Genomic DNA, 17265 nt, shown 5'->3' with positions numbered 1-17265 from the left:
TCTGACAAAAATTATGGGGATTTGTGTTAATCTTAAATGTTTGGTAAAATTTGCCAGTGAAACCAGTTCTGGCCTTGAAGATTTCTTTTTTTGGGAGTTTAAAAATCACTAATTAAATTTCCTCAGTAGTTTTAGGATTATTCAAATGATCTATTTTATATTGAATGTGTTGTTGTAGTTTGTGCTTTTGTAAGAATTGGTTCATTTCATCGTAATTTCAAATATATGTGTAGAATTGTTCATAGCATTTTCTTAATATCCTTTTCATGTCTTTAGGGTCTATAGTGATAGCTTCTGTTTCACTTCTGATACTGGTAATTTGTGTGTTTTCTTTTTACTAGTCTTGCTAGAGGTTTGTCAGTTTCATTAATTGTTACAAATAACTAGTGTTTTATTCCCTTGATTTTCTTTTTCTTTTTTTTTTTTTCCTATTTTAATTTCATCTTGCTTTTGGTTTGTTTTGCTCTTGTTCTACTTTCTGGAGGTAGAAGCTTAGATTACTAATTTGATTTGAGACTTTTTTTCTTTTCTCATGTAAGCATTTAGTGTTATAAATTTCGCTTTCAGCACTGCTTTAGTTATACAAACTTTGATGTGTTATATTTTCATTTAGTTCAGTATATTTTTATTTCAGAATTCATCTTTGGCTCAGCTAGAAGCATGTTGTTTAATTTCCATGCGTTTGGAGGTTCCCATTATTTTTCTGTTGTGGATTTCTAGTTCAATTATGTTCAGGAAATATAATCTGTATGATTTCAATTCTTTTAAGTTTGTTATGCTTTGTTTTATGTCTCAAGTAGACTGGCCCTTGAAGAGAATATGTACTCTGCTGTTGTTGGGTGGAGTGTTCTATAAATACTGATTAGATTTTGTTTTTCGATGAGGTTCTTGTATTCTTCTTTACTTTTGCTGATTTTTTTTTTTTGGCTATGTGGTTATCAGTTTTTGAGAGGAAGGTTGAAATCTCCAACTATAATTGTGGATTTTTCTGTTTCTCCTTCAGTTCTGTCAGGTTTTGCTTCTGATATTTTCAGCTCTGTTGTTTATTATGCACATTTAGTATTGCTGTGCCCCTGTCTATCCCTCATAATCTTCTTTGCTCTGAAATCTGTTTTATCTGATACTAATATAACCACTCTTGTTTTATTTTGATTGGTGTTTGCACGGTATATAGTTTTTCATCCTTTTACTTCAACTCACCTATGTTGTTGTATTTGAAGTGAGTTTCTTGTAGACAGCATGTGATTGGGTCATGTTTTTTGTTTTATTTTTTATCCACTTAATTTTTCTTTTAAATGGTGTATATAGACCGTTTATATTTAATGTAAGGCTTCAGTCTACCATTTTATTTTTTTGTTCAGTTGGTTCTCTTTCATTTTATTTTCTTTTGTTTATGATTTCTTTTTCCTCCCTTCCTGTGGGTTAGTTTTATATTTTTGAAATTCTATTTTGATTCATCTGTAGTTTTTTTTAGTGTTTCTCTTTGTATAGCTTTGATAGTGGTTGCTGTAGGTATTACATCATACCTATACACACACTTATTACAGTCTACTGGTGTCATTTTGCCAGTTTAATTGATGTGCAGAAACCTTACCTCTTTATATCCTTTTGATTCCCTTTTTATAATATGACTGTCTCAAGTGTTTAACCATATCAGTCAGTGTAATCATTCTTTCTTCAACCATAGAATATAATTTAGAAAACACAACAGAATGAAATTGTTGTATTGACTTATATTTATTATTTGCTGTTACTTCTCCCTAATGTTTCAGTATTCCTTTTTATATCATTTGCTTTGTATTTAGAGAACTTATTGTAGCCATTCCTTTTTTTTTAAGCAGGGTCTTGCTCTGTCACCCAGGCTGGCATACAGTGGTGCAATTTCAGCTCACTGCAGCCTTGACCTCCTAGGCTTAAGCCATCCTCCCACCTCAGCGTCCCAAGTAGCTGGGACTACAGGTGGGCACCACCACACCTGGCTAATTTCTGTATTTTTTGTAGAGATGGGGTTGTACCATATTGCCCAGGCTGGTCTTGAACTCCTGAGCTCAAGTGATCCACCTGCTTTGGCCTCCCAATGTGCTGGGATTACAGGCGTGAGCCACCATGCCTGGCCTAGCCATTCTTTAACAGCAAGTCCGCTGGCAACAAATGATTTCCCCTTCATTCTTGAATGGTATTTCAGCTGGATATAGAATTCTGGGTTGGCAATTCTTTCCTTTCAGTACTTGAAAAATATGTGTCACTACCTTCTCGTCTCCCTGGTTTCTTATGAGAAACCTGCTGTTTGAATTGTTTTTCCCCCCTTAGATAAGGTGTCGTTTCTCTCTTCTTTCAAGATTATTTTTCTACGTTTTTGGAAGATGACTGATATATTTTGTCACGTATTTGTTTGGGTTTATCCTGTTTGTGGTTCATTCAGCTACTTAAGCTGCAGGTTTATGTTTCTTAATACATTTTGGTAATTTTCAGTCATTATTTCTTTGAATTTCAGCCCCTCCTTCCTTCTCCTCTTCTTTTAGGACTCTAATGACAAAAATATTAAATCTTTTGTTATAGTCCCATGGGTACATGAGTCTCTTTTCCATTCCATTTTTCTCTGTTGTTCAGATTAGGCCATTTCTGTTGTTTAGTCTTCAAAATCACCAAATCTTCTGTTCTCTGCTTTCTACTGAACACATTCTGAGTTTTTAATTTCTGTTATATTTTTCAGTTCTAATTTTTTTTTTTTTTGAGACAGGGTCTCACTCTCGCCCAAGCTGGAGTGCAGTAGCAAGATTTCAGCTCACTGCACACTCCACCTTCCAGGTTCAAGCAATTCTCATGCCTCAGCCACCCAAGTAGCTGGGATTGCAGGCATGCACCACCACACCCAGCTAACTTTTGTAATTTTAGTACAGACGGGGTTTCACCATGTTGGCCAGACTGGTTTGGAACTCCTGACCTCAAGTAATCTGCGTGCCTTTGCCTCCCAACTTGCTGGGATTACAGGCCTGAGCTGCTGTGCCCAGCCTAAAATTTTCAGTTGATTCTTTTTTTATGTCTTCTTGTTTCTTTGCTGAGACTGTTTGTTTCATTTGTCTCAAGTATGTTAATAATTGCTTATGAGGCATTTTTATAATGACTACTTTAAAAATCCTTGTCAGACAATTCTAACATCTATGTCATCTCAGTGTTGGTGTCTGTTGATTGTCTTTTCTCGTTGAACTTGAGATTTTTCTGGTTCTTATTATGAGAAAGTTCTATTTAAACTGGGCATGTTGGTTACTATATCATGAGATGCTGGATTTTATTTAAATCTTTTGGTATAGTAGGCATCTTCTGACAAATGTTTTGGCAGGGCATGAGACGCCCTACCACATTGTTGCCAGTTGATAGTGGGAGTTCAGTCTCCTCACTAGGCCTCTACTGGTATTACCTTGGCTGGGTGGGGGGACAGAGGCTCAAGATTACCTGTTTACTTCTTTCCAGATGGCCTCCACTGACATCACAGGGGGTGACTCATTAGTTATTATTGGATGGTGGTATAATTCCAGTAGGAAGGGAAGGGGTTTTCTTGTAACTGCTGGGTGTGGGTGGATGTATTGTTTCCCTACATGGTCTTCATTGACACTGTTGGGTCACAGGGAGGACCTTGTGAAATCAGACTTGTCTGACCCCACCCTGGTAGTGCCTTGTTATAACTTGGTTACGGTAGAAAGGTGAGGATTCAGCTGCATTTTTTGCTGTACTGTTTGGTTGGAATTGAGTGGTTATCCTAACATTTTCTGTCTTGCTGTGCTGCCCCTTTCCTGGTCCTTTGGCTGGAGGGTAGGCTTTTCTTGGAGATTTTTTTGACAGCACCTTCTGGAGTTCTTCAGCAACCAATCTAGGATACATGAGGCAGAAAGAAAGTCTGTAACAGCTGGGCTCGGTGGCTCACACCTGTAATCCCAGCATTTTGGGAAGTGAGGCAGGAGGATCACTTGAGCCCAGGAGTTGAAGACCAGTCTGGGCAACATAGTGAGACCCTATCTCCACAAAAATTTTAAAAATTAGCTGGGTGCATTAGTGCATTTCTGGAGTCCCAGCTACTTGGGAGGCTGAGGTGGGAGGAGTGCTTGAGCCCAGCAAGTCAAGGCTGCAGTGAGCTGTGATCATGCCATTGCACTCCAGTGTGGGTGACAATTCAAGACCCTGTCGCAAAAAAAACAAGCTTTTAAAAATAAAAAGGTAGCCCATGAAACTCAGTACCACATTATCCTTTATATCCTGAGGGCCCTACCCATCTGCCTCATCCTTCTGACTTTTCAGAGCTGCCTTCTGTTCCTTGTATATATACAAGATTGGTAATTTGGGCTTCATTAAAATTAAGGACTTCTGTTCACCAAAGGTGTGATAGTTAATTTTATGTGTCATTTTGACTGCACTAAGAGATGCCCATGCAGCTGATAAAACACTTCTGGATATGTCTGTGAGGGTGCTCCTGAAAGGGTATTTGAATTAATAGACTGAGTAAAGAAGATTGCCCTCATCAGTGTGAGTGGGCATCATCCTACCCATTGAGGGCCTGAATAGACCAAAAATGCAGAGGAAGGGCAAATTTGCTCTCTCTTTCTTTGAGCTGGGACATCCATCTTATCGAGCCCTTGGAGATTGGTAATCATGGTTCTTCAGCCTTCAGACTCAGACAGACTAGGACTTATACCAACTGCCCCCACCCACAACCCTACCCCCGGATTTTCAGGCCTTTGAACTGGGACCAGGATTTATACGATTAGCTCCCTGGTTTTGCAGCTTGTGAACAGTACATTGTAGCACTTCACAGCTTCCATAATCACAGTGAGGCTAATGCCGTAATATGTCTACACACACACACACACACACACACACACACACACACACGCATGTACACACAAGTTCTTAACTCCTTTTGGTTCTGTTTCTCTGGAAAACCCTGACTAATACAAACGTCATTTCACATTAAGAGTGTAAAGGCAAGCCACAAAGTTGGAGAAGCTATTTCCAATATATAGATATAAAAAGGTCTCATCCAGGATATATAAATAACTCTTAAAAATCAATTGGATAAACTAGACAACCCAATAGAAAAATGGGCAAAAACTTGAACAGGACTTTACAAAAGACGATATCTGAATGGCCAATAAATGTATGAAAGCATGGTGATCCTTATTAATTATCAGAGAAATTCAAGTTAAAAATGGTTTTGACAAAAGATGCAAAAGCAATTAAATGGAGAGAGCATAGCCTTTTCAAAAACTGGTATTGAAACAATTAGACTTTCATAGGCCAAAAACAAACCTTTACTTAAGCCTTACCCATATTTTAAAAAATCAAGTCAAAAGGAATCATAAATCTAAATGTAAAACTATTATACTTGTATAAGAAAACAGAAGAAAATCTTCTGCATCTAGGGTTAGTCAGAGTTCTTAGTCATGATGCCAAAGGCATATAACCCATTAAATAAAAAATCAATAATTGGACTTAATCAAAAATAAAAACTTTTGTCTGTGAAAGACTCTTAGGGAAAGGAAAAGACAACTTATAGACTTGGAGAAAATATTTGCAATTTGCATATTTAACAAAGGACTCATTCAGAATGTATAAAGAACTCAGAAAGAAAACAACCCAGTTAGTAAATGGGCAAAGGACTTGAACTGACACTTCTCTGAAGAAGGCTATGCATGTCAAATAAGCATATGAAAAGATAGCATCACTAGCCATTAGGGAAATGTAATTTAGGTGAGGCTAGTGGCTCAGGCCTGCAATCCCAGGGCTTTGGGAGGCTGAGGTGAGAGGATCACTTGAGGCCATGGGTTCAAGACCAGCCTGGGCAACATGGTGAGAATCTGTCTTTACAAAAAATTAAATACAATTAGCTGGGCATGGTGGCACATGTCTATAGTCATAACTACTTAGGAGGCTGAGGAAGGAGGATCACTTGAGCCCAGGAATTCGAGGTTGCAGTGAGCTATGATTGTGCCACTGCACTCCAACCTGGGAGACAGAGTGAGATCTTGTCTCTAAAAAAGAAAGAAAATGTAATTTAAAACCACATGAGTTGTCACTTCACACCTATCAGCATGGCTAAAATAAAAAATAGTGACAACATTAAATGCTTGTGAGGATATAGAGAAACTAGTTCTATCCTACATTACTAGTGGGAATATAAAATAACAACCATTCTGGGAAACAATTTGGCAGTTTAAAAAAACAAAACTAAACAACTAAACATACTTGTCATATAACCTTGCAATTACACTCTCAGAAATGTATCCCATGGAAATGAAAACATTTTCACATAAAAACCTAAACACAAATGTTCACAGCAGCTTTTATTTAGAATGGTCCTCAACTAGAAACAACCAAATGTTATTTAACATGTGAATGGATAAACAAATTGTGGTATATCTATGTAGTGGAATGCTGCTCAGCTTACTGATCCAAGCAACAACTTATATGGATCTCATGCTAACTGGAAAATGCCATTCTTGATTTGACAGAAGTATAATGATAGAGAACTGATCTGTAGTTGACAGGGTTTAGGGTTAGGGGAAGGGCATGAATACGAAGGGATAACACAAGGAAGGTGTTTTTTTGTGATGACAGAACAGTTCTGTATCCTGCTATGGTAATGGTTATGTGATTCTACATGCATGATAAAATTTTGTAGAACTATACATCAAACAAAAAACTGATGAAACCCAAATGAGCTCTGTACTTGAGTTCATACCAACATCAATTTCCTGGTTTTGACAATGTATTGTTGTTATATAAGTTGTAGGTTACCATTGGAAGCCGAGAGTGAAGGATATATGGGAGCTCGACTGCTGTAATTTTTGTGAACCTTAAACTGTTTTTGAAAGGTTATAATAAAAACAAAAAGATAGTACCATGAGTTGTCAAGGACCTGAACAACTGGAAGCCTCATATAATGCTGGTGGGAATATGAATTGGAATAACTACTTTATAGAACAATTTGTTCAGTTTAACAGTGCATGTAAATACCCTATGACTCAGCAATTCCACTCTTAGATATGTACCTGACAGAAATGCTTTTATCAAAAGACACGTATAATATGGTTTATAGGAGCATTATGCAAATAATGCTTTATATTTTAATTATGTTTGTTTTGAGCATATACTTTAATACTAATACTTAGTATTAAGAATATCTAAAAAAGGTATTGGGTAGTTTATCTCAATATGGACTTGCGTATTGAAGTTCTTTAAGGTTTCATGTGTGTTGTGTGTGTGTGTATGTATGTATGTATGTGTGTTTTTTAACCTACATAGTTTATACCATTCTATATGCTTGATTCTTTTGTATAGCTCTATGCCATCTTTTGCTTATGTGGGATAGATATTAATAACTGGAATAATTTTGGACCAGCATTTACCCATATACCTTCAAGTATGTCCTCTAATGAAAGATGCTACAGTTTATTCTCTGTAATGACTATGTGTTATAGAGGTATAAAGATGAAACTTGTCATCATAATCCCACTGACCACAGAGAACCACTATTAACATTGTGTTTATATGTTTTGTTTTTAATGCATTTGCAATTGTATTTAGTAAGGCTCTATATTCTGCTTTTCTTCCGCATAACATAGTATTTTGGATTTTTAATGGTAACATAGCCAGAGTGTAATTTACTTCTCTATGTTATACATATTGTTTAATTTTCAACCTTATGCTACTGTAAAATAACACTGTGATAAATACATTTTCTTCAAAATTGGTCAACTTTTGTGATAATTTCTATAGTCTGTATTCATAGATGTGTGGTAGCTCCAAATTGACATAAAACATGAATTTAGTATCTCTATTTATTTTATACCAGGATTTTTCTTTAGTATATAATATGATTGGTAGACTAAATTGTAAACTTTTTCCCATCATTTAAATTTAGAGTTTCTTTGCATTCTAGTGTATAGTGAATGCTATAAATGTAATTAGTATGGCATTTTAGTCATTAATTTTCTTTCATGAAAGAAAAGAAAAACATTTTGTGTTGATTATTGAGAGCTTATTATATTCCAGGGATTTTTGTCACTCTGTAAGTTACCAGCAATAAGCAAATTATTAAATAAATTACTGTACAATCATCCAATGAAATACTATGCAGCTACCAAGCATGATGTTTACCAAGAAATTTGGGGAAATGTTCATAATACATATTGTATATACAGTTACTATCCTGACTGCAAAATTTAAAAAGTATATATTTAGAAAAAAAGAAAACTGTAGGAAATATATCATGATTTGAATGGAGGTTGTTTCTGGGGAGTGGAACTGAGTAATTCTTTTCCTTAGAGTTGTTTTTATTTTCAAAAAGTGTTTATCCAATCTTTTTCAAATTAAATTTTCATTAATATCAAAGTAATATATTTACATATTTTTAAAAAACAGATAGTTTTACAAGGCTTCAAATAAAAACCAGTCCCGTGACCAAACCTCTTTCTACCTGTGATTTCTACTTTCTGGAGGTAACCAATTTCAACTCTTGGCAATTCTTACTTACTTACATACATCCTTTCTAAAGTGTAAGGTAGTAATTTACCACAAGCACAGGCACACTTTTCCTCATTCGTTTTCCCAGTATAATTTTTCATAATATTTGCCTAAATTAATTTGCAGTATTTTCTTTATTGTGGCTACGTAAATATTTGTAAGCCACTTGAATACTGTGATTGTTTTTCCTTTTTCGTGTACTTGTTTATTATATTTTGCTGAAGTATTCATTCGTTTTTACCATTTGCTTAGTTTTCTATATACCTATCACCAATTCATTCCTAAATTATCCTGTAGAAATATTGTAAATCCTGGCCAGGCATGGTAGCACATGTCTGTAATCCCAGCACTTTGGGAGGCCGAGGTGGGCAGATTACCTTAGGTCAGGAGTTCAAGACCAGCCTGGCCAACATGGTGAAACCCTATCTCTACTAAAAATACAAAAATTAACCAGGCATGGTGGTGTTCCTGTAATCCCAGCTGCTCAGGAGGCTGAGGCAGGAGAATCACTTGAACCTGGGAGGCAGAGGTTGCAGTGAGTCGAGATTGCGCCATTGCACTCCCGCCTGGGTGACAGAGTGAGTCTCCGTCTCAAAAAAAAAAAAAAAAAAAAAAAAAAAGGGAAAGAAAGAAAGAAACCTTATAAATGCTTGTGTTCCAACAAATCAGGTAATCTATCAGTTTCTTTTTTTTTTTCTTTAGACACCCTTCCTGGAGCCCCGTGTCTGTCTTCTTGCTTCTGTTTTATCTACCTCAGTACCTTGCATCTGTCTAACGCCTCTCCTTACATTCTTTATGCTGTATTATAAATGTTGAGTCACCCCTACATATTCACCTACTTTTGCATTTTCCTTCATTTTGATGTACTTAGTGCCCCTAGCTGTACCCAATACAATATAGACTTTCAGGTTACATATAAATTCTCTAAATTTATTCAGAAATCTGTAGATAAAACCTTGACTACATTGTAAATATTTGATTTTTCATTTCATCTTTATTCTTAAATCAGACGATTTTATTTTCCAACAATAGGATTCTTCCTGGGCATATGTATTATCATCCTGACTCCTTAGATAATATATTATTTTCTTCAGTAAGTAAGAAATGAATTCTCTGAACTCTTGATAGTTAAAAAAAAACTAAGTATCAAAAAGTCATATTGTAATTAAAATATTTGTAAAGTACTAATTACTGAAGCATTTATTCTATATTTTCATTTTCAGAGGACGATTATTTATCATTTCTACTAAAGCAGGATCTCTAGGAATTAATCTGGTAGCTGCTAATCGAGTAATTATATTCGACGCTTCTTGGAATCCATCTTATGACATCCAGAGTATATTCAGAGTTTATCGCTTTGGACAAACTAAGCCTGTTTATGTATATAGGTTCTTAGCTCAGGTAGGTTTATAATTCTCTTTTTCATATTGAAAGTTTATGTGAAACTGATAATATTTTAGAGATATGGAACATATGTGTATTACAGAGAGGGAAACAAAGTTGGAAATACCATTTCTGTACATAAAGCAGCAGAAGTCAGTTTTGGCTTTTCTTGATTTTCTGTTTTGTAGTGTATCCATTTCTGTGATGTCATCTTTCTCAGGTTGAGATTGTTTTGCATGAACACATTTAGCAGATGCTACCCCCAGCAGATGCAACCCCTCTCAGCCTGCCTCCAAATCTGGGCTTCTTAACCAGAAACTGGGTTTTTTTTGGTAGATCCTTGCTTATTTGATCTTCTTTAGTACATAAGTTGATTGACAACTTTATGTAAACTCTTTCCTGTTATTTGTTTATTTATTCAATTTTCTTTTATTTTTTTCTTTCCTGTTAAGTTTAAAACTTCTGTACATTCTCATTTATAATTTGTATTATATTTAATATACATTTAATATAATGTATACATTTAATTAATGTAGTTTATATGTAATGGATATGGTATTTTATATTTGTTTTCTGTCTTGAAATTATAGAAAATAAAACGATATAAAGGCATTTTATGGTGTTTGTTGATAGCTTATTATATTACATTGAAAAGGAATCAAACTGCTCTCTTGCATTCTAACTTCAATATTTACCTAAATGTTTTTTGTGTCTGTCCCTTTATTTCTGTTTACTCTGGTATCTGCCTGCTGTCCTCCTCCTACAGAGTACAGAAATAAATAAAGCAACACTTGAATGCATTTTGGTCAGTTAATATAGAATAATTATCAGTAATGTAATTTTATTTATTATGGTAAACTATGCTAAACAGATGAAATCTTTCATGAATTAAGCAAAATTGCTGATGAGTTTTTCTTTATGGCAATATACTACCATAAAGTTTTACCATTTCATATTAACCAGTAACCGTATTTATCCTTGATTAAGTTTCATGCTTACAAAATTTTATTTTTTTGTATATTCTTCCTTCTTTTTACAAAGGGAACCATGGAAGATAAGATTTATGATCGGCAAGTAACTAAGCAGTCACTGTCTTTTCGAGTTGTTGATCAGCAGCAGGTGGAGCGTCATTTTACTATGAATGAGCTTACTGAACTTTATACTTTTGAGCCAGACTTATTAGATGACCCTAATTCAGAAAAGAAGAAGAAGAGGGATACTCCCATGCTGCCAAAGGTAAACATATTTAGATTATTGGCTTAACAAACCAACGTGGACTAAGGAAATTTTACTACTGATATCAAATTTAGTCATCTGATTAAGGCTATATTTCAGAATTTTTCAAGGATAATAAAATGATATTTAATGAATTTTGTCTAGAAAATTATAAATGATAGGGTGCTTGATCTGTTCTCCATATAGCACCACAAAAAGATAGTATATTCTGAAACACATATTTTATGCCACATATAATATATCTAATTAGCATATTTTCTAATATACTTTACACTTCAACTTTTATAAGAAGTAGCAGACAAATTTTCCAATTAGAAAAGGGGAAATTACTTCGAATTTATTCATATGGTGAATTTCGGGTTGCAGGAAACCAGTTAATTTTATAAACGTGTATTATTTGCTGACTTTGAGAGGTATACTGTGAGAGAATACTAAGAAAAACAAGACATTGTTCAGATTATCTCCCTCAATCCAGCAGCTGAAAAGCAGATAGTCCTGTTTTCATTTTCAAGATGAGGAAACTGAGGTTCAGAGAGGCTAGGTAACTTACCCAAGTTTACACACCATATTGTAAAGCTGGTCTTCAAATCATATCTGACCAACTCAAAAGCATTACTCTTAATCATTATAATTTTTTGTCCTCCAAATGGAGATTAGAAAGTTATTTTCAAATACAAGAAGCAAAGCAGAGGACCTGGGATTTCCAGAATTGAATGACATTTAGGATGCTTTATTTTAGTTTAAATAAATCTGGACTTTAAAATATAGAATGCTTTCACAGTCAGTAATATTGTGTGATATAACTGTTAAGATGGTATAATATAGTCAGTTTAGCTTATGTCTTGTGAAGGTTAAATACTCCTCAAATTTATGGAAAACTTTAAGGTTTACAAAGGCCTGTCTCATATACATTATCTCAGGAAGCTGAGATTTAGAGTTTGTGATTACACAAGGGTACATGACCAGTAAGTGTTACAGCTAGAATTTGAACCCAGTAGTTTTCTTTCTCTCTTCTCCCCTCCCCCTCTCTCCCCCACCCCCACCTCCCTCCTCCCCTCTCTCCCTCTCCCTCTTCCCCTCTCTCCCTCTCCCTCTTCCCCTCTCTCCCTCTCCCTCTTCCCCTCTCTCCCTCTCCCTCTTCCCCTCTCTCCCTCTTCCCCTCTCTCCCTCTCCCTCTCTCCCTCTCTCCCTCTCTCCCTCTCTCCCTCTCTCCCTCTCTCCCTCTCTCCCTCTCTCCCTTTCCCCCTCTCCCTCTCCCTCTCCTTCTACCTCTTTTTGAGACAGTCTCACTGTGTCGCCCAGGCTGGAGTGCAGTGGCGCAATCTCAGCTCACTGCAACCTCCACCTCCTGGGTTCAAGCGATTCTCCTGCCTCAGCCTCCCAAGTAGCTAGGACTATAGGCGCCTGCCACCACGCCCAGCAATTTTTTTTTCTATTTTTAGTAGAGATGGGGTTTTACTATGTTGGCCAGGTTGGTCTTGAACTCCTGACCTTGTGATCCACCCACCTCAGCCTCCCAAAGTGCTGGGATTACAGGTGTGAGCCACCGCGCCTGGTCCTTTTTTTTGTTCTTTTTTCTTTTTTACTTTAAGTTCTGTTATACGTGTGCTGAACATGCAGTTTGTTACATAGGTATACATGTGCCATGGTGGTTTGCTGCACCTATCAACCCGTCATCTAGGTTTTAAGCCCTGCATACATTAGGTATTTGTCCTAATGTTCTCCCTCCCCTTTCCCCCCACCCCCTGACAGGCCCCAGTGGGTGATGTAACCCTCCCCATGTCCATATGTTCTCATTGTTCAACTGCCACTTATGAGTGAGAACATGCAGTGTTTGGTTTTCTGTTCTTGTGTTAGTTTGCTGAGGATGATGGTTTCCAGCTTCATCCATGTCCCTGCAAAGGACTTGAACTCATTCTTTTTATGGCTGCATAGTATTCCTTGGTGTGTATGTGCCACATTTTCTTTATCCAGTCTGTCATTGATGGGCATTTGGGTTGGTTCCAGGTCTTTGCTATTGTAAATAGTGCTGTGATAAACATACGTGTGCATGTGTCTTTATAGTAGAATGATTTATAATCCTTTGGGTATATACCCAGTAATGAGATTGCTGAGTCAAATGGTATTTCTGGTTCTAGATCCTTGAGGAATCGCCACACTGTCTTCCATAATGGTTGAACTAACACTCCCACCAACAGTGTAAAAGCGTTCCTATTTCTCCACATCCTCACCAGCATCTGTTGTTTCCTGACTTATTTAATGATCATTATTCTAACTGGTGTGAGATGGCATCTCATTGTGAACCCAGTCGTTTTCAAACTGTGTTACAAGGAACCCCAGGAGATGCTTTAGGGACTGCTACCATGTGGCTAAGCAAGTACAGAGGGGCCAGGCAATGAACACTCTGATCCCGACATCCCATTTCAGTCAGAGCCCCTCTTTTATCTTTTTAATGTATTGGACTTCAACATAAGATTTAATTCAAAGAGAGGACGTGCCTGCTTTTTAAAAAAAAGTTTTTAAAACACAATGCCATGTTGCCTTTCTATCACAGTAACTAAAAACTGTGAGAGATCTATCCAGGAAGTACAATCAGATACCTGAAGGAGCTGATAATCCGGTTGGGGAGAAAAAAGTAACATTCTTAAAAGGGAAAGAATGAAGTGCTGATGTGACTGGTGCTGAGTATCTTTGCTTATAATAGGGGAAGGATGGAGCATTCAGATACAATTTTGATGGGAGAAAAATCAGACTTGGTTGGCCTATAAAAGATGGTTAGTATTTAATTGGATAAAGGGAAGAATCAAGTGTGAATGAGAGATTGAACAGTTTGGGCAAAGGGACAGAGGTAAGAATTTATGTACCAGGCTTAAGGGATGATGAAATTGGCCTGGCATTGATGAAGAGTGGAGGTTAGATAAGTAGGAAAGCCATGAAAGGCAAATGGAGGCATTGCGCTTTAAAATAATGTTTACTATAAGTTCTTGAATGGGACTGTTGTATGATGAATCTGGGCTTTTAGAAAATTAGCCTGGAGTGATTATTGTGGGCTCGATCAGACATTTCATGAAAATAAATGGTAGAACTCAACTGATAATAGACTAGCTTTTAAAGGGATAGGCAGCGAAAATGTTTTTTTTTTCTTTGAGACAGAGTCTCACTCTGTTGCCCAGGCTGGAGTGCAGCGGCATGATCTCGGCTCACTGCAGCCTCCGCCTCCTGGGTTCAAATGATTCTTGTGCCTCGGCTTCCCGAGTAGCTGAGGTTATAGACATGTGCCACCACACCCAGCTAATTTTTATATTTTTAGTAGAGATGGGGTTTCACCATGTTGGCCAGGCTGGTCTCAAACTCCCGACCTCAGATGATTCACCTGCCTTGGCCTCCCAAAATGCTGGGATTGCAGGTATGAGCTACCTTGCCCAGCCAAAAAATTTTATCTTAAATAATGAAGCTTAGTTATTCATTCATTGATTTAAACTTTTTGGGGTGCCTATGATATGCCAATTGTACTGGTCTCTAAGGATACACTCATAAATAAGTCTAGGATTCTGTTCCCAAGAAGCTATAGTCTTAAAAGCTTACCTTAAGCAAGTAATATAGTAAGAGTTACAGATCCTATAATAGAAATCTGTGCAGGTGCCAAGGAAGGAATATTCATTTCTTTCTTGGAAAGTTTGGGATGGATATTGATGTGCTTGAACAGATGTTGAAAGTAGAACTGGGTAACTGTTTGCATTGCTAAGACGGCAGAAGAGCAAAAGGCCTTTCAAGATGGGGAATAGAAAAAAAGAAGCACATGCATAACATGGCATGATAAGTTTGAAGAACCTCAAGTAGTTAAAAATAAATAAGAGTATAAGGAGATACTGGTAGAGTAAGGGTGAGTGTGGGAAGAGGTAAAAGTAAAGACTGGAAAGGTAGGTGGGAATCAAATCATAGAAATTAGTTTGTAAGTTGTGTTATAGGTTGTGGTATCTATTTAACAATTTTAAGCAAGAGACTACCGTCACATTTTCATTTTAGAAAAAAATCATTTTATGTATCAGTGTGGAGGATGGATCAGAGAAAAGAAAATGGATATTAAGATACTTGTTAGGATGCTACTAAAATGATTCAGGTGGGAGAGGTAATACAGGCCTGATATGAGATGTTAGCAGTGGAGACAGAGAAGTACTGGGCATAATATAGATACTCAGTAATTATTAATGTTCCCTTGATTTATAATTAGAATTTCATGTAAGATTTCCACTAGTTTAATAGAATTTGAAAACTGGTCATCTGAAATGGGTACGTTTTGATATTCATGGCGAGGGATTTCTTGGTACGTTTGGATATTCATGGTGATGGATTTTTTGGTATTTGAAGCTGCTTTTATTCAAGGTATTTTGAAGTTGGTTCCTGTTATTATAGTACAATTGCAAACACCTTCCTTCTTGTCCATGATTTTTAAGATGAAAGACTGCTAAAAATGATACATTTTCATCCTTTCAATTGCTGTTATCTAAGTAATAATTAAATTCCATGCTTTTATGAGGTTTTTTTGTCTTTTGGTAGTCCCGAAAGCACTTCTTTTTAACTTACTTGATATGTGATTACTGTATCTCTTTCTGCTTCATCACTTCCTCCTTAGGTCATTATTACTTAATTCCTGTTCCTCCATTTCTCTTCTTGTTCAGTTTTTACTTCTCTACTTCTAATTTGATTTAATACCTCAGACTTAATTAGCCACCTGACTATTTTTCTTGTCTTTGTACCTCTTTAAAGGCAAGAACTGCATTCTGTGCTTCCTTCAGTATCCTTAGTGAATAATGCAATGCTTGGCACTTTTTTATTATTATTATACTTTAAGTTCTGGGGTACATGTACACAACGTGCAGGTTTGTTACATATGTATACGTGTGCCATGTTGGTGTGCTGCACCCATTAACTCGTCGTCTAGGTTAGGTATATCTCCTAATGCTATCCCTCCCCCCTCCCCCCACCCCATGACAGGCCCTGGTATGTGATGTTCTCCTTCCTGTGTCCAAGTGTTCTCATTGTTCAATTCCCACCTATGAGTGAGAACATGGGGTGTTTGGTTTTCTATCCTTGCAATAGTTTGCTGAGAATGATGGTTTCCAGCTTCATCCATGTCCCTACAAAGGACAGGAACTCATCATTTTTTATGGCTGCATAGTATTCCATGGTGTATATGTGCCACATTTTCTTAATCCAGTCTATCATTGGTGGGCATTTGGGTTGGTTCCAAGTCTTTGCTATTGTGAATAGTAAACATACATGCGCATGTGTTTTTCTAGCAGCATGATTTATAATCCTTTGGGTATATACCCAGTAATGGGATTGCTGGGTCAAATGGTATTTCTAGTTCTGGATCCTTGAGGAATCGCCACACTGTCTTCCACAATGGTTGAACTAGTTTACAGTCCCACCAACAGTGTAAAAGTGTTCCTATTTCTCCACATCCTCTCCAGCACCTGTTGTTTCCTGACTTTTTGATGATTGCCATTCCAACTGGTATGAGATGGTATCTCATTGTGGTTTTGATTTGCATTTGTCTGATGACCAGTGATGATGAGCATTTTTTCATGTGTCTGTTGGCTGCATAAATGTCTTCTTTTGAGAAGTGTCTGTTCATACCCTTCACTCACTTGTTGACGGGGTTGTTTGTTTGTTTTCTTGTAAATATGTTTGAGTTCATTGTAGATTCTGGTTATTAGCCCTTTGTCAGATGGGTAGATTGCAAAAATTTTCTCCCATTCTATAGGTTGCCCATTCACTCTGATGGTAGTTTCTTTTGCTGTGCGGAGGCTCTTTAGTTTAATTAGATCCCATTTGTCAATTTTGGCTTTTGTTGCCATTGCTTTTGGTGTCTTAGACATGAAGTCCTTGCCCATGCCTATTTCCTGAATGGTATTGCCTAGGTTTTCTTCTAGGGATTTTATGGTTTTAGGTCTACCATTTAAGTCTTTAATCCATCTTGAATTAATTTTTGTATAAGGCGTAAGGAAGGGATCCAGTTCCAGCTTTCTACATATGGCTAGCCAGTTTTCCCAGCACACCATTTATTAAACAGGGAATCCTTTCCCCATTTCTTGTTTTTGTCAGGTTTGTCAAAGATCAGATGGT

At 36.7% G+C, this 17265-nt stretch overlaps 1 protein-coding gene across 9 annotated transcripts in view; it reads left to right on the top strand.

Annotated features, from left to right (window-relative positions):
* ATRX (ATRX chromatin remodeler) overlaps positions 1-17265 on the top strand; it is a 281337-nt gene that overhangs the window by 217630 nt on the left and 46442 nt on the right. For all 9 annotated transcript variants that reach the window (XM_005262156.5, XM_005262157.6, XM_006724666.5 and 6 more), the window contains 2 exons: positions 9741-9918; positions 10942-11136. In XM_005262156.5, the coding sequence (XP_005262213.2) occupies positions 9741-9918; positions 10942-11136 (373 nt within the window). The remainder of the gene's footprint in view (positions 1-9740; positions 9919-10941; positions 11137-17265) is intronic.

Source organism: Homo sapiens, chromosome X (assembly GCF_000001405.40).
Source record: "Homo sapiens chromosome X, GRCh38.p14 Primary Assembly".
Lineage (NCBI taxonomy): Eukaryota > Metazoa > Chordata > Mammalia > Primates > Hominidae > Homo > Homo sapiens.
The sequence above is the reverse complement of the archived record's forward strand: the minus strand, read 5'-3'. Positions and strand labels throughout refer to the sequence as shown.